Here is a 23,136-nt window from a genome sequence, read left to right on the forward strand (position 1 = left end):
CTCAGTCTCCCAAAGTGCTGGGATTACAGGCGTGAGCCACCAGGCAGGTGAGTATGCCTATTTTAACATCCTAGAGCAACCTCATCAAGCTGCACCTGGGACAGGCTACAGTATCTGTGGAGAATTCATTAACATTGTTTCCTTTTTATCGACTATTTTTACAGTAACCTTTGCATCTCCCAGAGGGACACTAGATTTCCGGTCACAGTACACAGTAATGTTACAATGTATCCCCTAAGATGAATGGAGCTACTGCTGAGTTTTGTGTTTTTTTTTTTTTTTTTTAAGAGACTGAGTCTCGCTCTGTCGCCCAGGCTGGAGTGCAGTGGCGCGATCTTGGCTCACGGCAAGCTCTGCCTCCTGGGTTCATGCCATTCTCCTGCCTCAGCCTCCCAAGTAGCTGGGACTACAGGTACCCACAGCCACGCCTGGCTAATTTTTTTATTTTTTTTCCCCGAGGGCTGCAACATACTTACAAGAGCCCTTAGGAAGCAGCCTATATATCCAATAAAAAGGAACTGATCAAGTGAATGCCAGGCTATCTATGCAGCAGAATACTACATAAGTATAAAAAGGGGGAAAAAGCCGGGTGCGGTGGCTCATGCCTGTAATCCCAGCACTCTGGGAGACTGAGGTGGGTGGATCACGAGGTCAGGAGATCGAGACCATCCTGGCTAACATGGTGAAAACCCCATCTCTACTAAAAATACAAAAAATTAGCTGGGCGAGGTGGCAGGCACCTGTAGTCCCAGCTACTCGGGAGGCTGAGGCAGGAGAATGGAGTGAACCCAGGAGGCGAAGCTTGCAGTGAGCCGAGATCGCGCCACCGCACTCCAGCCTGGGCGACAGAGTGAGACTCCATCTCAAAAAAAAAAAAAAGGAGGAAAAGCCTCCCTTCCTCGGCGCTGCCTAAGGAGGTGGCAGCCGTCTCCTCCTCAGCATCATGGCCGCCCTCAGACTCCTCATGAAGCCCAAGATCGTCAAAAAGAGGATCAAGGCGTTCATCCGGCACCAGTCAGACCAATATGTCAAAATTAAGCGTTAACTGGGGGAAACCCAGAGGTATTGACAACAGGGTTCGCAGAACGTTCAAGGGCCAGATCTTGATGCCCAACAGTGGTTACGGGAGCAACAAAAAACAAAGCACATGCTGCCCAGTGGCTTCCGGAAGTTCCTGGTCCCCAGCGTCAAGGAGCTGGAAGTGCTGATGTGCAACAAATCTCCCTGTGCTGAGATCGCTCACAGTGTTTCCTCCAAGAAACGCAAAACCAACGTGGAAAGGGCCGCCCAGCTGCCGTCAGAGTCACCAACCCCAATGCCAGGCTGCGCAGTGAAGAAAATGAGTAGACGGCTCGTGTGCATGTTTTGTGTTTAAATAAATGTAGAAACTGCCAAAAAAAAAAAAAAAAGGGAGTGGGGGGTGGGGGAAAGGATGCTTTTTTGTTTCAGACAGGGACTCGCTCTTCTGCCCAGGCTGGAGTGCAATGGCACGAACATACCTCACTGCAGCCTCAATCTCCCAGGCTCAAGCGATCCTCCCAACTCAGCCTCCTGAGTAACTGGGACTACAGTCACATGCCATCACGCCCAGCTAATTTTTGTACTGAGTTTTGCCATGTTGCCCAGGCTGGTCTCAAACTCCTGTCCTCAAGCGATCCTCTCACCTCGAGATGCTTTTTGATTACTTATTTATTTATTTATTTCTGCGGCAGGGTCTCACTCCGTCACCCAGGCTCAAGTGCAGGGCGCGATCTTGGCTCACTGCAACCTCCGCCTCCTGGGTTCAAGTGGACTCTTCTGCCTCAGCCGCCCAAGTAGCTGGGATTACAGGCACACATCACGCCCGGCTAATTTTTGTATTTTTAGTAGAGACAGGGTTTCCCCATGTTGGCCAGGCTGGTCTCAAACTCTTGGCCTCAGGTGATCCAACCACCTCAGCCTCCCAAAGTGCTGGGATTACAGGCGTGAGCCACCCTGCCCAGCCAGGATGCTTTTTAAAATAAACTACTAGGGTAGGAACAATAAGATATATTATTAAATGGAGGAGGTGTGTATAAGCAAGAGGTAATAAAGTGTCGCAAATGGTACCGTTGTACGATTTTTTAAAATGAAAAAAGGGGTTGGGCATGGTGGCTCATACCTGTAATCCCAGCACTTTGAGAGGCTGGGGCAGGCTCACTAGATCAGGAGTTTGAGGCCCGCCTGACCAACATGGTGAAACCCCGTCTCTTCTAAAAATACAAAAATCAGCCAGGCGTGGTGGTGCATGCCTGTAATCCCCGCTACTCAGGAGGCTGAGGCAGGAGAATCGCTTGAACCCGGGAGGTGGAGGCTGCAGTGAGCTCAGACCGCACCACTGCACTCCAGCCGGGGCAACAGACCAAAACTCTGTCTCAAAAAAAAAAGAAAAAAGGAAAAAGGGAAAGATTGTATGTATGTGTAGAAACAGTGCTGCCTCCAGGGAGCTAAGTGGCTGGACACAGGGACAGAGATTTCCACTTTGGTACCTTTTTACATGTAGAACTAAAGACAAATTGAAGAAGTTATTTTTATTTTTATTTTTATTTTATTTTTTCTTCTTCTTCTTATTTTTTTTTACAGAGACAGGGTCTCACTCTCACCCAAGGCTGGAGTGCGGTGGTGCAATCATAGCTCACTGCAGCCTCAAACTCCTGGGCTCCAGGGATCCTCTGGCCTCAGTCTCCTGAGTAATTGGAACCACAGGCGCTTGCTACCACATGCGGCTAATTTTTAATCTTTTGCAGAGACAGGGTCTCGCTATGTTTCCCAGGCTGGTCTGGAACTCCTGGGCTCAAGTGAACCTCCCATCTCGGTCTCCCAAAGCTCTGGGATTAGCAGTGTGAGCCACCGTGCCCAGCTGAAGTTATCTATTTTTATTTTTATTTTTTTGAGACAGAGTCTCACTGTGTCACCCAGGCGGGAGTGCTGTGGCGTGATCTCGGCTCACTGCAAGCTTCACCTCCCGGATTCACGCCATTCTCCTGCCTCAGCCTCCCGAGTAGCTGGGACTATAGGCGCCCGCCACCATGCCTGGCTAATTTTTTTGCATTTTTAGTAGAGACGGGGTTTCACCGTGTTAGCCAGGATGGTCTCGATCTCCTGACCTCGTGATCCACCCACCTTGGCCTCCCAAAGTGCTGGGATTACAGGCGTGAGCCACCACGCCCAGCCTGAAGTTATTTTAAAACATAAAATTGCTTAAATAAAAAAGTGAGCTGATTAAAGAAAAAATGGAGCAAAACTTTGTTTTAAGTAAAAGTTTGGGGTCTGAGGAGAGGCTGAGGTCTAACAACTCAAACTTGAGCAACGCTAGGACTTTGAGCCTCTACGACCAGCTAGAAAAGGGTAGAGTGAGTCCAGGGGCCACACAGGTTGACCAGAAAAGTTCTGGAAAGTTCCAGCTATTCAGAAGCCCAGAGAGGCCTTAAGAAGGCCCGAGGTTCCAAGGGTAGGTCCCTGTGGGCCCCAACGCCTACCCATCCATGGCTCAGGCTGGGCTTTAAACAAAACAGAGTTCCTGCCCCAGTGGCCTGACCAGCCTAACCTCCCTCACTCAAGGCTCTGCTCCTGTTGATATGACCGTATGTGTGTGCTTTGAGCATCTGTCCCAAAAGTCACTAGACCTGGCCGGGCGTGGTGGCTCATGCCTGTAATCCCAGCACTTTGGGAGGCTGAGGCGGATGGATTACCTGAGGTCAGGAGTTCAGGACCAGCCTGGCCAACATGATGAAACCCCGTCTCTACTAAAAAAATACAAAAATCAGCCAGGCGTGGTGGCGGGTGCCTGTAATCCCAGCTACTTGGGAGGCTGAGGCAGGAGAATCGTTTGAACCCAGGAGGCAGAGGGTGCAGTGGGCTGACATCCTGCCATTGCATTCCAGCCTGGGTGACAAAAGCAAAACTCTGTCTCCAAAACAAAACAAAACAAAAAAATCACTAGACCCACCATGTACAGGAATGCACAGCCTCCCTTAACTTTTTTTTTTTGTTTGTTTTTTGAGATGGAGTCTCGCTCTGTTGCCCAGGCTGGAATGCAGTGGCGTAATCTTGGCTCATTGCAACCTCCGCCTCCCAGGTTCAAGTGGTTCTCCTAACTCAGCCTCCCAAGTAGCTGGGATTACAGGAACCCACCACAACACCCAGCTGATTTTAGTATTTTTAGTAGAGAGGGGGTTTCAGCATGTTGGCCAGGCTGGTCGCGAACTCCTGACCTCAAATGATCCACCCACCTCAGCCTCCCAAAGTGCTGGGATTACAGGTATGAGGCGCCGCGCCTGGCCCCTCAACTCTTATTTATCCCTCTGTTGCAGCAACAGCCAATCCCACTGTACTGATTCAGGAATGTTAATGGGTTCACAGAGCTCAGAAGCTGGGCATGGTAGCTCACGCCTGTAATCCCAGCACTTTGGGAGGCCAAAGCGGGAGGATCAACTGAGGTCAGGAGTTCGAGACCAGCTTGAACAACATGGTGAAACCCCATCTCTACTAAAAATACAAAAATTAGCCCGGCATGGTGGCGCATGCCTGTAATCCCAGCTACTCGGGAGGCTGAGGCAGGAGAATTGCTTGAATCCAGGAGGCAGAGGTTGCAGTGAGCTGAGATCACGCCATTGCACTCCAGCCTGGGGGACAGGGCAAGACTCTGTCTCAAAAAACAAACCACCACAAAAAAGATCACAGAGTTCAGAAATAACAGCACTGGAATTTGAACCCGGGTTTCTGCCTCCAAAGCCGACATCTTACTGTCCCTTCCACATCCAGAACTTGAGCCTGATTAGGGCAGATGTTTTGCTCCACATTGAGGCTGGGGCTGCCCCCTCCTTCTGGCCTCAGGAATGGTGACCCGGGGCCATGCGTCCTCAGCCAAGGACATGAGGAAAAGTCACTGTGGCCGGGTCAAGAATGTTACTTCTGGTAAAAATCCCTCCCTCTGGAGCTGCTGGAAGGAAGGGCAGAAGCTGGCTGAGGGTAGAGACGCATCCAGCTGCCTGTCTGACCTAGAGCCAGAACACACCCCTTGCCCCCTCCAATCCAGCAAGCAAGACCGGGCGGGTGGGTGCTACAATCAGCCACTGTCTGTGCTGTTCCTTCCTCCCAGGGTCCCGTCCTCCTCCTCTCATCTGGCAGCTTCAACCTCAGCTCGGCCAGCACCTCCCCTGGGGAGCCTTCTTGGATTACTGCAGGCCCGGTCAGGAGTCCCTTATGCCCCCACCGCAGCCTGGGCGTCCCCAGAACACTGGGCTGAGATACCTGCTTATGTGGCTCTCAGCACAGAGGTCAAGGGACAGCCTTGGTTCCCTGGGACCTCAGACTTCTTCTCGGTGTGTGGTGACCCTTGAGAAAACGGAGCTCCCAACATCACTGCCTGCTCTCGGATTTGGAGGGGTTCTACCTCTCGGAAGCACCCCCATCACTGCAGAGCAGATACCCTCTCGGTCTTCTCCAGGCAGCTTTGGGATCTGAGCCAGCCTGGAAGAGCTGTCCCTGCCCACTGAGTCCCCCGTTAGAAAATGTCTTGCAAATGCTTGCAATCTCTCCTTTGGACGAAGCTTCCCCACCTTTTTCTCAGCAAAGGGGCAGAGACACAGGAAGGACACCTCTGGGGCTTGAGGGCGCCGCGCCTGCAGCTCGAGAGGCACAAAGACACGCCATGTGCTAAGCTTTATGCCTGTGGCCAGGAGGAGCAAAACAGGCTCAGAAAGGTGAAGAGGCCTGGCGCAGAGGCTCACACCTATAATCCCAGCACTTTGGGAAGCTGAGGCAGGCAGATCACCTGAGGTCAAGAGTTCAAGACCAGCCTGGCCAACATGGCAAAACCCCATCTCTACCAAAAATACAAAAATTAGCCAGGCCTGGTGGTACACGCCTGTAATCCCAGCTACTTGGAGGCTGAGGCAGGAGAACTGCTTGAACCTGGGAGGCAGAGGCTGCAGTGGGAGCCGAGATCGAGCCTGGGCAACAGGACAACAGAACAAGACTTCATCTCAAAAAAAAAAAAAAAAGAAGGGACCTGCCTTTGGTCACACGGCGTGTGATGGGCAGAGACAGGATTCCAACCCAGGCCTACCTGGCTCCAGTGCCTTGAAAATCACGCAGGCTGGATAAATGGGGTTGGGGGTCTTTATTGACCACAAGTACCGTGGATGTCCCTGTCTCTTAGATGAAGAGACAGAAGTTCATGTGGTATTGCCAATATCAAAAAAGCTGGAAAGGGAACCCAGCCCTCTCTGGAGGCAACGCGCCTGAGCCTCCCGCTCCGTGGCCTGGCTTGGCCCCATCTCTGTTTTTCCATTTCAGATTCTGCAGACAAGAATCCAGTGCCAGAGCTGGTGACCCACCCACCCTGTCCCCTCCAACCCTGCCCGGGGCCAGCCCCACGGCATCCTGGGAAGGCCCCACTGGACCTGAAGTGGTTTCTAGAGCAGAAATTGTTCCCCTATGCCTGTAACCCCAGCACTTTCTCCTGTCACCCCAGCACTTTCGCCTGTCACACCAGCACTTTCGCCTGTAATCCCAGCACTCTGGGAGACCGAGGTGGGCAGACCACCTGAGGTCAGGAGTTCGAGACCAGCCTGGCCAATGTGGTGAAACCCCATCTCTACTAAAAATACAAAAATTAGCAGGGCATGGTGGCGGGTGCCAGTAATCCCAGCTACTCGGGAGGCTGAGGCACGAGAATCACTTGGACCTGGGAGGTGGAGGTTGCAGTGAGCCGAGATCGCACCACTGTACTCCAGCCCAGGAGACAGAAGGAGACTCCGTCTCAAAAAAAAAACAAAAGAAAAGAAGAACTGAAAGGGGTCAGTACTGAAGGCCAGACATCCCCAATGCAGGTGAGACAGGCCAGGAAGACTCAGGCCCTGGAGGCAGCCAGACAGATCACAGTGCAGCTATACCTGGCTTCTGGTCCCTGAGGGAGTGTGGTCATTGGGAACTTGGCCTGTGGGACCAGGCAGCTCAGGTTCAAATGGCCACTTCTGGTTGGGCACAGTGGCTCACTCTTGTAATCCCAGCACTTTGGGAGGCTGAGTTGGGAGGATCGCTTAAATCTAGGAGTTTGAGACCAGCCTGGGCAACATAGTAAAAACTCCATCTCTGTAAGAAATTTAAAAACTTAGCCAGGCCAGGCACTGGGACTCACGCCTGTAATCCCAGTACTTTGGGAGGCTGAGGTGGGAGGATTGCTTAAGCTCACGAGTTTGAGACCAGTCCGGGCAACACAGTAAGAACTCCATCTCTACAAGAAATTTAAAAAATTAGCCAGGCCAGCCGGGCTCAGTGGCTCATGCCTGTAATCCCAGCACTTTGGGAGGCCGAGGCAGGAGGATCATGAGGTCAGGAGATTGAGACCACCCTGGCTAACATGGTGAAACCCCGTCTCTACTAAAAATACAAAAAATTAGCCGGGTGTGGTGGCTGGCACCTGTAATCCCAGCTACTCGGGAGGCTGAGGCAGGAGGATCGCTTGAATCTGGGAGGCGGAGGTTGCAGTGAGCCGAGACTGCGCCACCGCACTCCAGCCTGGGCGACAGAGTGAGACTCTGTCACAAAAAATTAATTAATTAAAATAAATAAATAAATAAATAAATAAATAAATAAATAAATAAAAATTAGCCAGGTCAGGCACAGTGGCTCATGCCTGCAATCCCAGCACTTTGGGAGGCCAAGGCGCTTCAGCCCATCTTTCTTTTTTTTCTGAGACAAGGTCTGGCTCTGTTGCCCAGGCTGAGTGCAGCGGTGCAATCAGTTTCCATAGTTGTACGACGGGGATGCTGATAATCGCATTCACCTCATCAGGGTGCGGTGGCTGATCTGAATGTATAGGGGCATTTACTAAAAAACAGCATGAGGCTGGATGCCGTGGCTGGCTCACACCTGTAATTCTAGCACTTTGGGAGGCAGAGGCAGGTGGATTGCTTGAGCTCAGGAGTTCGAGACCAGCCTGGGCAACACAGTGAAACCCCATCTCTACAAAAAATTAAAAAAATTAGCCAGGCATGGTGGCCCACGCCTGTAGTCCCAGCTACCTGGGAGGCTGAGGTGGGAGGATTGCTTGAGCCTGAGAAGTAGAGGTTGCAGTGAGCTGAGATGCTGCCACTGCACTCCAGCCTGGGTGACAGAGTGAGACCCCATCTCAAAAGGAAAAAACGACAATAAAAAAAGCAGCATGAAAATAAGAAAAAGCGCAAATGAATGAGGCAGGGGTGTATGTCTCCAGTTTGTTAACCAGCAGTAATACCTACGTTTGTGGTAACACAGGATTGCCGGCCTGCTATGTCCCTAGCAGCAGGCAGGGGCTTATGAAATGTCCACATCACAAGAATGCTGGATGTGGATAATGATATGAGCTCTGTGACAGTGGGTAAGGGAGGCTGAGCCACTAGCCCGGGGTTGTGCAGCAGGTTGGCAGCAGAGCCAGGATTCAAACCCAGCCTGACTGCAGAACCCAGTCTCTTGCCCTACTGCCCTCATCCCCTATGTCCTCATGGGCCTGAGTGATGCCTTCTCCAGGTCCTTCATGGTGGGGTGAGTCTTGGCATTGGGCCCCAGATGGACCCTCATCCTCTTCACATTACAGCCAGAAATGCTTCCTTGCCCATCTCTAAACTATACCAACCTCTTTCATCTGCAGGCCTTCCCGGGTGCTGTCATCCTGACGAGGAATGGCTTTTCTATCGGCGAACTCCTATACACCCACAAAACCCCAGTCCCAATGCCCTTTTTCCCAAGAAGCCTCCCCTGGCTCCACCTGAGACAGTTTGTCTGCCTGTGTGTCTGCCACCAGGTGTAGGTACTGCCCACAGCAAGGGAAGGTGAACTCTGTGGCTCACTAAGCAGTGATCTCAAATAAGTCCTTGCCTCGTTTTCCCTCATTGGGAAACGTGGAAGGTAACAGAACTGGCACACTGGGTTTTGTCAGGCTCAAGGGAGAGGAAGCAGGTAAAATTAGTGCTTAGCATGGAGCCTGGGGCTGAGTTGATGCTGGGGAAACAGACGCCGTCATCATCATTACGGTTATTACTTTATGAATACCAGCATTATTATTTATCTCTGAATCTCTTAGGGCTCAGCACACAGTCCTCAGCATTCAGCCTCATTTGTGGAGCATAAAAGTTCCATTTGGCAAAATGGAGGGCCCCAGGGAGGAGGTGGGGAGTGTGCCCACACACACACAGCCATAAATGCACACAGGTAAACAAACACGCAGACCCCTGCACATCCCGTGCCGGCTTCTTACCTTCTGCTGCACAGCCTCCAACGAGCAGGACCACAAGGAGGCCCATGGGACCAACCACAGACACCATGCCAGGGCCCCAGGTGGGCGCCATGCTTGGCAGCGACCTCCGATCTCCGCCCTGGAGGGGGATGGCCCCCCGGTCCCTCACAGAGAGGCCTCGAGCCGAGCGTCAGATGGGGCAACGTCTGCAGAGACAATGGAGGGCTGTGAGAGGCGAGTGGGGAAATCCAGGAGACCTTCATGGAGGAGGCAGAGGGAGGGTCACATGGAGCAGGGGAGGGTCCTGCGGGGGCTGGTCATGGGACAATGGGGAAGGATCATGGGGTGATGGGATGGAATGAAAGTGCTGGGCCCTTGCTATAGAATTAAGGTGTCTCCCCCACAAAAAATCATATGTTGAAACCTAGTCCCCACTATGATGGTAACAGGAGATGGAGTGTTTGGGAAGTGACTAGGTCATGAGAGCAGAGACCTCATGAACGGGATTAGTGTCATAAAGGATCTCCCAGAAAGCTCCCTTGCCCTTTCTGCCACGTGAGGACACAGGGAGAAGATGCCTTCCACGAACCAGAAGATAGCCCTCACCAGACACCAAATCTGTGTTGCCTTGATCTTGGACTTCCCAGCCTCTAGAACTGTGAGGTACCAATTTCTGTCATTTATAAGCCACTTGGTCTGTGGTATTTGGCTACAGCAGCCCAAATGGACTAAGACAGCCTCCAACCACCAGCTAAACCCCAACCCCAGCATGAGTCCCCAACCCAGGCTGGGCCCCTGACTCAGACCAAGCCCCACACCAGGACTGAGGACCTGAGCCCCTGACTCAGACCAAGCCCCACACCAGGACTGAGGGGTGCTGAGCCCCAGTTTTCTCCAACTCACAGGCTGCTTCTCAGGAAGGAGGGGACTCCAGACTATGCTGCTGTCTGGCTCTAAAACCTGATCCCCCAGGTTATAAGACAAATCTCTTCCACACACCTGCCTGTCCCTGCCCTGCTCTAAGACCTCCCATGGCTCCCAGAGCCCCCAGGGGAAGCCACTCTTGCTGACTTCACTGTTTCCTCTCGCTTGGAGGTACAGCCAGGCCAGCCAAGCTCAGTCCCACCTCCAAGCCTTTGCTTCTGCTGTGCCCTCTGCCTGGAATGCTGTCCCCACCACATGACAGGTCTCAGCTTAGCTGTCACTTCCTCAGGAAACCCTTCTCTGCCCCTCAAAGGTCAATTCCCCCTACATTCTACATCCCGGAGCATCAGATATGACTAAGGTTATCCTCCGTGGTATTCACCCTGGTTCCCAAACTAAATGAAAAGATGTTAATCATTCAGCACGTTTCTCCCACAAGAACCTCAACTCCTCCAGGGCAGAAGGGTCCCTCGTCACATACCTTGAACCCTGGAATGGCCCCCTCCCCATCTCCCCAATCTCCACTCTGTCCAGAGCCAGGTCAGAGGGCCAGGGAGGGGAAGGGAGAGGCCCAAGGATAAGATCTTTGTTGCCTAGTCAGGCTGGCACCCATGCCAGCCCATGCCCTGGGCGGGTCCAGGCCGTGACCACAGGAACTGGTGGCGCATAATAACGGGGCAGCCCCTGTGATTCTGACTCCCAAAATACCCAGCTGCGGTCACCTCGCCCAGCCCTGGGGCGGTCCCAGGGGAAGGATGGGCGGGTAGTGGCCGGGTCACAGCCTAGGGTGACGAACGGGATTCGGGGGGCCTCAGTGTACATAGTTAGGCCACAGGCATACAGTCAGACCAGCCACAGAGAACGATGCCTGCTAAATCACGCCACAGACATACACAGATGCACACAGTCAAACCACCGATACACACCGACACACAGTCAGACTGCAAGCGGTTGCATATCTGCAAGAGACACAGAAACAAATGCATTCACACAGTCAGGCAGCAGAGACGGGCACACACACACACACACACACACACACACACACACACACACACACAATCAGGCAAATAAAACTTGCACATAGTCAGACCACAAACACAGACAGGCCCAAAATCAGACCACAGACATACACCAAGCCAGAAAAGATACACATAAGGGGTCATGGTGGGGCAGGCAGTACACATACACAGTTGGGTTACAGGGAACTGCAAACATGCAATTAGATCAGAGATACCTACAGGTGCACAAGCCGGTCAAAGTCACACGCAGACACAGGTGCCGGCACACTGTCAGACTATAGATAGGCCAGTCAGTCAGCAGACCACAGGTGCATGTGCCAGCCAGCCAAATAGAGATATGCAAAGTCAGATTCCCTTCCTACACACATATGTGCACACAGGCAGGCTACACAGACATGCACACACACAGTCAGACTCTAGGTACACCTTGCACACAACCAGTTGGGGACTGGGAAGATGAAGGAAATAAAGCCTAGAGCACAGTCCCTTACTCTGAGTCCCTGCCCTAGCCCTTTAAGAGCAAAAGTTGCCAACGAGGAAGGCGGTGGCCCCAGATGGAGAAAACAGCCTGTGGCCAGCTGGGGCTAGGGTGACCACAGCGGCTGGCCCTGCCCAGAAATGCACATCTGCTTGGCCACACTGAGGGGGCGAGGTCAGTCCCAGACCACTTTGAGCAGCTGGGCAGGCCTGCAGAGAGCCTCTGGGGAAACTGAGGCAGCATAGCAAACCTGAAGCTCAGAGGGCATGGGTAGGAGTCACTTGCACAGAGAGCCCAGGTGGGGCACATATATGGAGGGCCCCAGCCACAGCTGGCTCTCCCACATCCCACGAGGACCTCAGGGCAGCATCAGCCACCTTCTAAACCAGGCAGCCCTAATTACACCCTGGCTCCCACGGCAGAAGCCATGTTGGGCCCACACCTCCCTGATGTCTGCGCAGGATGGGGCTGAGTCAGGCACAGACAGGCAGGGCCTGGCCATGGACTCCCCCCAGATCCGCCACTCCAGCCTGTCAGGGGCAGGGACGAGGGGCTACAGTAACAGGAGCATTTGGGGCATTGGATGATGTATCAGGAATAGGGTGGTGGGAGGGGCCCAGGGAGTGGGGTTCAGACACTACCAAAGACAAAACATCCCGGGGTCCCTTAGGTGCCAATCCTCCCTAGGAGAACCTCCCATGATGGGGATAGGACCCTGCACACCCACAATCCTCCCACCGACTCCTGCTTCCACGAAAACCCCAGGCGTGAGGTCCTCTGCGAGGATTTGGGAGAGAAGATCCCTAGGTCCCATCAGCTCTGCCTTCAGAATCTGTCCCCAACCTGCCCACTTCTTACTCATTCTTCTGCCTCCACTTCTTCCAGCCCCATTGTCACCGACCTGGACAGATGTCGTCACCTCCATCGTGGTCTCCCAGCTCCCGCCCTTGTCCCTTGATCTGTTCCACTCACAGAAACCAGAAAGCATCTGCAAGCACCCGAGTCAGGGCTCGTCCTTCCTCTGCCCACAGCCCTCCATGGCTCCCACCTGCCTCGGGGTCAAAGCCCAAGTCCTTCCTGAGGCCCACCAGGTCCTGCACGACCTGCCCTGTCCCCTCCGTGCCCTCCCCTCCTCCCTTTCTCCCCCTCCTCCCTCTGCTCCAGCCGCATGGGCCTCCTTGCTATTTCTCCAACACCCCAAGTGCAGTCCAGTCCTGCCCCCGGGCCTTTGCGTGGGCCATTCCTGGATTTAATATTGGCTGAGGACCAAAAGGTGAATGGGAATTGGGGGCAAGGGTGTCTCTGCACTACAAACAGCATGAGGAAGAGCAAGGGGGCAGCACTGAGAGGTCCTAGGAGGGAGAGGGGGAGAGATGAGGACAGAGAGGTGCACATAGACTAGACCCACAGAGCAGCCAGGAGCCCTACGTGGCCCTGGGCAGGGAGGGAAATGGCCAGGTTGGTGCCAGGCCAACCCTCCACCATGTCCTCTTGCAAAAGGCAGCCTGGGCCACCAGCCTTGCCACTGCCAAGAAAGGGAAATTAAGTCAGGTGCAGTAATCTGCAAGCTCCCAGTAAATGACACGGCTGTTAGGAAAAGCATGGCAGCCCATGGTGGCCAGCGAGGCTGAGCCAGGGCTAGGGAGAAGGAGAGGGAGTGACCGCTGGACGCTGAACCCATGTGGGGCTCAGGGAGGGTCTCTGCCCGCCCCACCTGGCTCTCAGGGGCTGCACTGCCCACCACTAGCTCACGGCAGCTGGTCAGAGGCAGGCGCTTGACTTTTACAGATGAGGAAACTGAGGCTCACAGAAAAACAGGGACTCAGCCAAGGCCCCCAGCTGGGGTGGGACTTGGGTCTAGAGCCCACGTTTAATCTTGTGACTGTGTCTTTCTCTGGCCACTGCGAGATCTCTGGACAACTCTCTCTGGGACTGGTAGAGCCCGCTGGCCGCCTCTGGGGGCTCCCCCGCGGTGCTAATGGGGGGCGAGTGGGCACTCATTCCAACCAGGCGCCGGGGCATGGGTCACGCGATCTGGGAGCCGGCTTTGTGTGCCCACGCGGTCCAGGAAGCATAAAGGGGTGATTATGACCCAGGCCGGGCAGCAAACAGGCTGTGTCACCCGCACGAGGCGGGGGCTCCTCGGGCCAGAGGAGGCTCCCGGTGCCTCTCCCAGCCCAGGCTCCAGCTGTAGAGTCCATGCTGCCCTGTCCTGGGGCGGGAGTCTGGGGGCCTAGTCCTAACCCTCAGGGGCCATCCCATGGCCCCAGGGCAGGAGAAGCTGAGGCTGATTATGCCAGCAGTGGGACTCAGGGGAAAGACCCCTGACCCTGCACAATCTCTCCACCTTCACATCCACCCCCCACCCACAGCTCTCCCGTGCCACCGCCTGGAACGTCATTTCCAGGACTGGACCCTGGCCTCCAGCCTCCCTGGACACCTGGGTCACTCCCACATCCACTCAAGCAGGGACAGGCAGCGAGGGCCCCCCTGGGCAGCAAGCACAGGCTCTGTGGCCACTGGTGGGCTCAAGTCAGCTCTGGCCAAGCCACTGTCCCTCCCAGGGCGCCATTATCTCCCTATCAGGAAATGGGCTCAGGGAGGGGCTGGGTGGGGCTGGCCCTTCCCGGAACTGAAGTCCGGGGACCTGGCTTTAATTGACTATTGATTTGTATTGGGACGACGTGAAGGCTCAGGGCACTGTCCCCAGGGGTCCTGGTGGCCAGGAGTGGATGGGTGGGGCAGACAGGGAACCAGGCCCAGCCCTGGAGAGGGAAATCATTAAAGTCCACTGGGTGCCTCTGGGGTGCTGAGCCCCATTAAATGTTCTCTGTGTTTTCTGCTGTTTAACGGATTAGGAAACCGAGGCTCACCAAGGGTCCTGCATGGAGGAGGGGGCTGGGCTGGGTTAGGATTTGAGGCCAGAGCCCGGCTCTCAGTCGAGCCCAGAGTCCACATCCTCTGGGCGCCCAGGCTGCCAAAATTGCCCGTCAGTGTGTCCCCCATGCTGGCTTCATGGAACAACTTGAGACGCCAAGATCTGGGGGTACCCCTGCTTCTGCTCACACACCCACGGGGGCTCCCAGCTCCTGTGCTCGCTGCTCTGGGCCCTTCTTGATGTGACTGCATCCATCGTCTTCCCTACCCCCTCTTCCCGAAAGGTCCTGCAGTTCTCAGAATACACTGCCTCAGGTCTCTGAGCCTCTTCGCATGCAGGTCCCCCACCTGGCACACCCTTCCCCAGCTGGCCCATGGTCAGTTCATCCTGTAAGCTGCAGCCACGAGATGCCTCCACTCCAAGCTGAGCCCCGTTCCTCCTCTGCTCTAAAACCCTCCATGGCTCCCATCAACACGTATTAAAACTCAGACTGCTACCTCAGCCTCCAGAGCTGCCAGCCCGGCCTCTGCTGACCTCATCACGCCACAACCCCCCATGCCAGGCTTCCCTTGACACCTTGATCCCCCCCACTTGTGGCCCCTGGCTCCCACAGGGGTATTTACACACACTGTTCCTTCCACCCAGCATACCCTTTCACATCCTCATCAAATCTCAGCCCTCATACTTGTCCTCAGGGCTCAGCTGAGCTGTCACCTCTTCCAAGAAGCCCTCCTGGATGCCCCAGGGTGGATCAAGACCCATTCTGAGCTACCCCATCACAGCTGTGCTCCCACTGTGGGTCTGTCAACCCCCTGGATGGAAGCCCTTTTCCCACCCCAGGAACGTGGCAAAGCCCCTGCATGCACTGGATGCCTGCTGCATAACCAGCTCCACCTGGCACTTTATCCACAGCATCCCTGGCGTCACCTGGGTTTCAGAGGTAGAAACTGAGACCATAGACAGAGACCACCCCAGGCAATGGAGACCGAGACGGGGACAGCCTCGCATCCACCCTAGGGGGTCTGGCAGAGACTTAAAGGGTGGGGGTGAGGCTCTGGAAGGAACAGACAGCTGAGGCCAGCCTGGGTTCTGCAGGAAGCCCCTTGGGGAGGGTCACCAAACTCTGTCAGCTCAGTACTTGGGTCCTGGAACGGCTTAGAGCCCAGGGACGGGAATGGGTAAAAGAAAGGTACGAGCTGCCCTGACCGTCTCAGAAGACAACACCACAGGCCCCTCCCTGAGGCCAAGCCCCCCAGTTTCTTAAAGCCCCCCAACAAAGCACAGAGGCAACGTGGGGTCCACAGGCCCGAGAGGAGCGGAAACAAATGGATGGAGGTAAACTTCCTGCGATTTTCGGGGGTGGCTAAGAGCAGGGATTCCTGCCATGCACCCCCCACCGCTACCTGCCCCCTCTGCGGTCCTGTTGCCTCCTCCGCCTTCTGCGAAGTCCCCAGTCACAGCTCCCCCGGGCTGGCAGCGAAGGCTGCCCCGCGCCTGGCTCCGCCCCCGGGAGGTGGGGGAGGAGAGGGGGTGGGGGGAGGAGGTCGGGCTGGGGGCCAGGCGGGGGAGGGGACCCTGCGGAGCATAACGGTCTGGAGTTTTCCAAAGTGCAAGCGACGGGCCTGAATGGGGGGGCGCCAGGCAGCAGCAGGCCCAAGCTGGCCCTGGAGGGCGGCCGGCACGGTCAGGCCCGCGCTGGGCTGTGGGGACCCCCGTGGTCCCCAGCCTCGGAGCCTGGAGGGGGCGCGACAAGAGAGACAAAGCCCGGGGCGGCCCGGGCCTCGGGGTGGAAGGGGGTCCCGGGCGCACTCACCCCGCGGCTCGGAGATCGGGCCCAGGCCCCGCGAGGCCTCCACAGGGCCCGCCGCAGCCGCTCCCCGCGTCCCTCGGTCCGCCCGGAGCGCGGCGCGCAGCGAAGACTCGGGAGAGGCCTCGGCCTGGGGAGCTCGGCCTGGGGGCGGGGCAAGGGGCGGGGCTGTAGGGGGCGGGGTTGCAGTGGGCGGGGCTGCAGGGGACGGGCCCCGAGGAGGGGGATTGGGGGGCAGGGCGGGGCCCCGGCCGGAAGTGGGGCGGGGGGACCAGAGGGGAGCCCCATCTGGAGGCGCGGAGAGCCTCCGCAGGAGTCCATGAAACACTGAGCGAAGGGGCGCCCCAGGGAGGGCACGACCCAAGACCCCTCCCTCCCGAAGACGTCTCACGGGGAGCCTCTACACTGCTCCTCGCTTCCCCAGCTCTGATCGTAGCCATGGCAACGCATGAGGAGGCTGGATGCCGGACAGGGCGGCGGAGGGCTCCCCAAACACACCCAACTACAGGAGGTCGGAGAAGGGGCAGAGTTCCCCTCCCAGTCTGGGTGGGACCGGAGGCACGGTGATGGGGGCGGGGGGCGTCCCCTCTTCCCCCTCTTAGACCAGAGGGTAGGGGAGAGGTGCGGGCGCAGAGGCTTCCCTCCCGCTGGGGGTCCAGGGGAATGAATGGGGGGACACCGTGGCAGAGGCCCCCACCCTCGCCACAAGCCTGAGGAGGGGGCGGAGAGCACAGGGCCAGATTGGAAACAGATGGGGCCGCCGTGCCAGGCCCGCGACACCGGAGCAGAGGGAGAGGAGGAGGGAGAGGGAGGGGCAGACCTGTCCGGGCGGCCAATCCGAGCCAGCGTTGCGCCCGGGGTGCGGGTTTGAAAACTCCACCGGAGGGGCCCGGAATGTAGAAGCCCAGCGGGACCTGGGGGTCTGGGGACGGGACAGGGGCAGAGGCCGGGATGGAGACCCAAGGGCTCCCGCGTCTGCTCCCATCCCTGGAAAAAACGCCTCTCTTCCCAGCATTCGCGCTGAGGACGAAGCCCGAACGCCAACGCCAACGGGATGTCCTGGGCGCTCAGCTGCCATCAGCTGTGCTTCCTCAGGCCACCGGCCACGGCTCTAGGAGGCAGACCCCACCATCACCCCCATTCTGCAAAGAACGGAGCCGAGAAAGAGAGAGAAACGGCTGCCCACGGCCGGGAAGAGCAGGAATTGGAACCAGGGTTTGGGTCCAGAGGAGGAGCTCTCACCACAGCGCTGCTGGAGGCCTGGGGCCCCCGGAACTGAGGATATATCATGAATAATTTCAAGCCCCTTGGGTTTATCTAGGTACAGGGCCATCCTGAAGACAGACGCCCCACTCTCTAGAAGCCATTACTCAGTGGGGCAAAGGACGTGGGCTTTGATGGGAGACACACAGGCGGCTGTGAGAGCCCAGCAGAAACAATTCCGCTCCCACGGCTCCCGTCCATGCCCTCCCACTGCTACCTCAGTGGCTGGCTCCCATCTCCTTCAAACATCGAATAAATGCCTCCCTCACTGGGGGATACCACACTGCCCCCTTCCCTTACCATGCCTCAGTTTCCCTCCTCTGCAAAATGGAGCATGGAATCGCCCCGCCCCATCTCCAACAATAGGTGGCCTAGTCCACAAAGCACCATGCACAGTAGGTGGTCTGTGAGTGTCTGCACACAGGCTCCCTGCCTGCCCCTTTGACACAGAGCACACAGGAGGTGCTAAACACAGGATGCCGTGACGTCCCCCGTCCCACGCAGCCCCATCCTCGACGAGGTACACAGTAGGTGCTTCATGGAGGAGGCTGCCTGGTGCCCCAGCATCACCAAAGGCACACAGGAGGTTCCCTGTGTCAATGTAGGCGTAGGAGCAACCAGCGTGACCTCCCCAACTTGGCTGGGCACACAGTGGGCCCTCAGGAGCAGAGTAGGCACCTTGCTTGTATCTGTGGCAAGGCACGGGGCTCATACAGACTCGAGTTTGAATCCAGGGATGCCCCGTGTGTCAAGAAAGCACCCGTACCTCTCGGGCCGACAGTTTCCCCATCTGCCACATAAGCCAAGCACTGAACAGGTGCTCAATGAATCCACACTGTCAGGAGGCTTGGGGCTGCATGACCTGCAGCATACAGGCCTGGCTCTGGGCTGCCCAGGACTCGGGACGGCAGACAAGGGCTTGCCAGCCGCTTCCCAGCCAGTCCTGCCCTCTCTGGGCCTCTTGTCCATGTCTCTGTGGAGGCAGACTCTTGCCCCTATTCCACAGTGGTGACTGCAGTTGGCAGGGGACACAGCCACCCCCGAGGGGCTGGGGGAGGTGGGCCAGGTGCCCTCCCCCTTGGCTGGGTGGCCCCATCAGCACAGAGCCCTACATGCGCCTAGTCCCCGGGTCTGCCTCTCCCACCAGACTGTGACCTCAGGAGGCAGAGCAGGATTTGTCTCGGTCACCCAGTGTCCCCAGCACCTAGCACAGGTCCACAGTACAAAGGAGGTTCTCAGCAAACATTTGCACAATCAGGCCCAGCCTCACCCAGGAGAGCCCCTCCGACCTTATTCTCCTCCAAAGGCCACACTGTGTGTGCCCTTGTCATAAAGCAGGCATCTTCACCTACCCTTTTTTCAAGACAGGGTCTCGCTCTGTTGCTCAGGCTGGAGTGCAGTGGCACCATCATGGCTCACTCTAGCCTCAACCTCCTGGGCTCAACCTCCTGGGCTCAAGTGATCCTCCCACCTCAGCCTCCTGAGTAGCTTGGACTACAGGCACATGCCACCACGTCTGGCTAATTTTTGGATTTTTTTGTAGACATGGGATCTCCCCATGTTGCCCCGACTGGTCTCGAACTCCTAGACTCAAGTGAACCTCCTGCCTCAGCCTCCCAAAGTGCTGGGATCACAGACATGAGCCCGTAATAAGGTTAAGCCCAGCCTACCCTTTTCTAAACAAACATTTCCAAGCCCCGATGCCAGGCACAATCCTAGACACACAGTGACCAAGACTGACAAAGATCCCTGCCCTCAGGGTGTGGATGCTCTAAAGAGGGTGACACATGAGAAACAAAAGAAATCAAATCCACTGTGGGTCAGATGGTGGTAAGGGCCCTGAGGATGATTGGGTTCAGGGTTGTAGGATGAGGAGGGAGGATCGCCTGAGGCCAGGAGTTTGAGACCAGCCTGGGCAATATAGCCCATCATCTCTACAAAAACTTTTAAAAATTAGCTGGGCCTGGTGGCGCATGACTGTGGTTCCAGCTACTTGGGAGGCTGAGGGCGGAAGCATCGCTTGAGGCCAGGAAGTTGAGGCTGCAGTGAGCTAGGATGGTGCCACTGCAGTCCAGCCTGGGCGACAGAGCGAGACTCTATCTCTAAAAAAATGTAAAATAAAATAAACACAGGATAGGAGAGAGGGGAGGTGACATGCGAACAAAGACCAGGAGAAGGTGAGAGAAAGTGAAAGAGGATTCCAGGCAGAGAGCTCAGTCCATGCAAAGGCCCCGGGGCAGCACTGCACCTGGCGTGTTGGAGGAATGGCGAGGAGGCCAGTGTTGCTGGAGCAGAGTGAGGAAGGGGAGACAAAGAGGAGGGGAGGGGAGGGAGGGGAGGGAAGGAATGGGGACAAGATGCGCACGGCCTCAGAGGCCTCCAGGAGGAATTGGGCTTTGACCCTGAGGAAGGTGGGAGCCATGGAGGGCTGTGGGTAGAGGAAGGCCCTGACTCAGGTACTCACAGACATGCTCAGCTGCTGTGGGGAGGGCAGACTGTGGGGGATGACTAGGCTGGGGCTGGACTGGGTAGAGGATGAGGGAGAAAGGCACATTCTAGGCAGACCCAATAGAATTTTCTAAACGGCTCATTTGGGGATGTACAGAAAAGAGGGGACTCAAGGATGACTTCTGGGTTTTTGGCCTGAGCACCCTAAAGGTTAAGGGTGGCCACCTCCAGGAAGCCCTCCCTGATTGCCCCGCCTACTCCGTGCCCTTGGGGGCTGACCCCTGGACCCCTCCAAAAACGTTCCATTGATATGTCCTCTGTATACACCCAGGAGGCGGCTGCCCTTGGGGAGGAACACGGGGCTGGATCACGTCAGCTCCCACAGCTGGGACGTTGGGGGGTAATTTTTTTCAAAATAACTTTTCTTCTAATTATAAAATAGGCGCGTGCAGCAGAAAATTAGGTAAAATCAGCATAAAGAAGAAAATAAAAGTTACCCACAATCCATCCCTCGCCTAGAGAGAAACTGTTTCATGCGGCCGTTCTCATTCATTCTTTCCCTGTACATGTGCTGAGCACCTACTGTGTGCTGTGCTGAGGACACAGTGGTAAGCATGATGGAACCAGCACTCCTGCCCCTGTTGGGGGGCACAGACTAGTTGCAGGGGGGATGGACACCCACAGAAAAACAAACACTGTCAATAACATAAGGCCGGGCAGTGCTAAGAGATGCCAAAAATAATTAAATAAACCACACTGCAAGGCTGCAAAAACTGGGGGGTCCCTGGGGGAGCCTCTTAGAAGTGGTGATAATTGCATTTACACCTGGAGGAAGAGAGCAAATCAGACATACAAACACCTATGACAACAGAGTTGCAGGCAGGAGGAACAGCAAATACGATGGCCCTGAGGCTAACCATTTCCTTCCAGTCTTTCTTTTCTTTTCTTTTTTTTTTTTTTTTTTTGAGACAGAGTCTCGTTCCATCGCCCAGGCTGGAGTGCAGTGGCACGATCTCGGCTCACTGCAACCTCTGCCTCCCGGGTTCACACAATTCTCCTGCCTCAGCCTCCTGAGTAGCTGGGATTACAGGCGCACACCACCACGCCCGGCTAATTTTTTGGGTATTTTTAGTAGAGACAGGGTTTCACTATGTTGGCCAGACTGGTCTCAAACTCCTGACCTCATGATCCGCCCGCCTCGGCCTCCCAAAGTGTTGGGATTACAGGCGTGAGCCACAGCGCCCGGCCTCCTTCCAGTCTTTCTTCTATGCATACGAATGGGTGCTTTTCTTTCGTTCGATGGGGATCACCATTAGCAGACCATGTTCCAGTGTCCGGGTCACAGAATTTAATCAATTCCCACTTGTTTATCCCATTATGTCCCTTATAAACAACACTGTGAGGGACATTCTTAGACACAGCTGTGTCCCTTCGTCTCCTGAAGAAACTTCCAAAGCAGGGGTGACTGCATTGGGATGTTCTCAAGCCTTTAAACCTTCCCTGATGGGGAACCCTCAGATAAAACCATACCCTTGACCGGGGCAGGACCCCCTCCCCCAGCCTGTCTGTCCCACCTCCTTCATATTTGGCACCAAAACCCCCAGACATTTCATTTAGGTACAAACTCTGTACTCTTGGCTGTGAGAGCCAGAGAGAAACTGGTTGGGCAGCTTCCTCTCAGCTTCCCTGCCCTGGTCTTGCCCATGCCCAAGGCTCCCGCCTCCTACCTAGCACAGCATTCATGACCCGGGGCATGGGCGGGTGCCAACCAGCCAGGAGCCCGCCTCACCCATGTTCACATCACAGCCCTGGCGCCGGGTCTACCCGCCAGCCGCACCGCAGCGGGCATGATGCCCACCACAGGCACGCCCCAGCTCCATGTCTGCCTTTTTCACCTGTCCGCCCCCGCAGGCCAGGCTACCTTCCCCTTCCTGGAAAATGTGTGACACCTTCAGGCATGGCTGGATCCAGCAAAGCCATTCCTCCCATGTCTTCCCCAACTCTGCTGATAGCAGCTCTGTCCTTCCAGGGGCTCAGGCTAGAACCTGGAAGCTGGCCCTCACTGCTTTTCCTCCCTCACCCCATATGGTGTTGGTCTGGAAATACTCTCACGTTTGTCTCCTAAATTTCTACTCACTTTGTCCATCTTTCTCCATATTCCCTTCCCAACCCATCCAGCCTGATCATTGCCTGCTCGGACCAGCACAGTCACCTCTGCCCTGGTCCCCAGCCTCCCACCCTCGCCCTCCAGTCTGTCCTCCCCACAGCACCCACTACATGGTGCCGGTGTGCACCTGAGTCAGGTCCCGTCCCTCCTCTGCCCACAGCCCTCCATGGCTCCCACCTCCCTCAGGGTCAAAGCCCAAGTCCTCCTGGTGGCCCACAAGGCCCTGCATGACCTGCTCCATCTCCTCCCTGCCCTCCATTCCTCCCTCTCTCCCCCTCACTCTGCTCCAGCTACATGGGCCTCCTCGCTGTTCCTCCAGCACCCCAAGTGCAGTCCTGCCTCAGGGCCTTTGCACAGGCTATGCCTCTGCCTGGAACACTGTTCCTCTACATTTTCTTGTCACTTTTCTTCTCACCCTTCCATTCTCCCTCAAGGATCACCTCCTCAGAAATGCCCTGGCTGACCACCTGGCTCAAGCAGCACCCATCACCCATTACCCATTATTTTACTGTCACCTGAAATTCTCTGTCTTTACTCACTGTCTGGGTCTGAGTTATCAAATACAAGAACCACTAGTGGCTGGGTGTGGTGGCTCACGCCTGTAATCCTAGCACTTTGGGAGGCCAAGATGGGTGGATCTTCTGAGGTCAGGAGTTTGAGACCAACCTGGCCAACACGGTGAAACCCCATCTCTACTAAAAATACAAAAATTAGCCGGGCATGGTGGTGCGCACCTGTAATCCCAGCTACTCGGGGCTGAGGCAGGAGAATCGCTTGAACCTGGGAGGCGGAGGTTGCAGTGAGCTGAGATCGCGCCATTGCACTCCAGCCTGGGCAACAAGAGTGAAACTCTGCTTCGAAATAAAATAAAATAAAGGAAAAGAAAAAGAAAAAGGACCACTAGCCACATGTGA

The 23,136-nt window shown here is 55.8% G+C and overlaps 1 protein-coding gene, 1 long non-coding RNA gene and 1 pseudogene across 33 annotated transcripts in view, besides 7 other annotated features; 2 read left to right on the forward strand and 1 right to left on the reverse strand.

Annotated features, from left to right (window-relative positions):
• The window catches only part of PTPRS (protein tyrosine phosphatase receptor type S), a 135,305-nt gene that overhangs the window by 71,283 nt on the left and 40,886 nt on the right, over nt 1-23,136 (reverse strand). For 17 of the 32 annotated variants that reach the window (XM_005259610.2, XM_047439163.1, XM_005259607.3 and 14 more), the window contains exons 1-2: nt 16,351-16,455; nt 9,260-9,444 (exon numbers count right to left, since the gene is read on the reverse strand). In XM_005259610.2, coding sequence (XP_005259667.1) covers nt 9,260-9,350 — 91 coding nt within the window. In that variant the 5' untranslated portion in view covers nt 9,351-9,444; nt 16,351-16,455. Of the gene's footprint in view, nt 1-9,259; nt 9,445-15,940; nt 15,996-16,350; nt 16,456-23,136 lie in introns of those variants that run through there. The other 15 variants (XM_047439166.1, XM_047439164.1, NM_130853.3 and 12 more) reach the window with 2 other exon arrangements.
• Nucleotides 891-1,394, forward strand: RPL32P34 (ribosomal protein L32 pseudogene 34; annotated as a pseudogene).
• Nucleotides 3,527-3,696: an enhancer, noted in NCBI's record as "experimental_51629 CRE fragment used in MPRA reporter constructs". NCBI's record gives its function as "activates a minimal promoter by MPRAs in K562 erythroleukemia cells, with activity observed for both the introgressed and non-introgressed 19:5280413 variant alleles {active_cell/tissue: K562}" and the evidence as "EXISTENCE:reporter gene assay evidence [ECO:0000049][PMID:34662402]".
• Nucleotides 16,204-16,303: a silencer, noted in NCBI's record as "silent region_9920". NCBI's record gives its function as "represses an Ori minimal core promoter by ATAC-STARR-seq in GM12878 lymphoblastoid cells {active_cell/tissue: GM12878}" and the evidence as "EXISTENCE:reporter gene assay evidence [ECO:0000049][PMID:35858748]".
• Nucleotides 16,344-16,453: a silencer, noted in NCBI's record as "silent region_9921". NCBI's record gives its function as "represses an Ori minimal core promoter by ATAC-STARR-seq in GM12878 lymphoblastoid cells {active_cell/tissue: GM12878}" and the evidence as "EXISTENCE:reporter gene assay evidence [ECO:0000049][PMID:35858748]".
• Nucleotides 16,484-16,863: a silencer, noted in NCBI's record as "silent region_9922". NCBI's record gives its function as "represses an Ori minimal core promoter by ATAC-STARR-seq in GM12878 lymphoblastoid cells {active_cell/tissue: GM12878}" and the evidence as "EXISTENCE:reporter gene assay evidence [ECO:0000049][PMID:35858748]".
• LOC105372253 (uncharacterized) lies at nt 16,628-17,893 on the forward strand. The gene is made up of 2 exons (NR_187754.1): nt 16,628-16,855; nt 17,357-17,893. It is a non-coding gene; the product is annotated as an uncharacterized LOC105372253 (long non-coding RNA).
• Nucleotides 17,762-18,379: an enhancer, noted in NCBI's record as "H3K4me1 hESC enhancer chr19:5294563-5295180 (GRCh37/hg19 assembly coordinates)". NCBI's record gives its function as "activates a minimal SCP1, AML or CMV promoter by ChIP-STARR-seq in primed H9 embryonic stem cells {active_cell/tissue: H9 hESC(primed)}" and the evidence as "EXISTENCE:reporter gene assay evidence [ECO:0000049][PMID:30033119]".
• Nucleotides 18,380-18,996: an enhancer, noted in NCBI's record as "H3K4me1 hESC enhancer chr19:5295181-5295797 (GRCh37/hg19 assembly coordinates)". NCBI's record gives its function as "activates a minimal SCP1, AML or CMV promoter by ChIP-STARR-seq in primed H9 embryonic stem cells {active_cell/tissue: H9 hESC(primed)}" and the evidence as "EXISTENCE:reporter gene assay evidence [ECO:0000049][PMID:30033119]".
• Nucleotides 21,409-21,909: an enhancer, noted in NCBI's record as "H3K4me1 hESC enhancer chr19:5298210-5298710 (GRCh37/hg19 assembly coordinates)". NCBI's record gives its function as "activates a minimal SCP1, AML or CMV promoter by ChIP-STARR-seq in primed H9 embryonic stem cells {active_cell/tissue: H9 hESC(primed)}" and the evidence as "EXISTENCE:reporter gene assay evidence [ECO:0000049][PMID:30033119]".

Source organism: Homo sapiens, chromosome 19 (genome assembly GCF_000001405.40).
Source record: "Homo sapiens chromosome 19, GRCh38.p14 Primary Assembly".
NCBI lineage: Eukaryota > Metazoa > Chordata > Mammalia > Primates > Hominidae > Homo > Homo sapiens.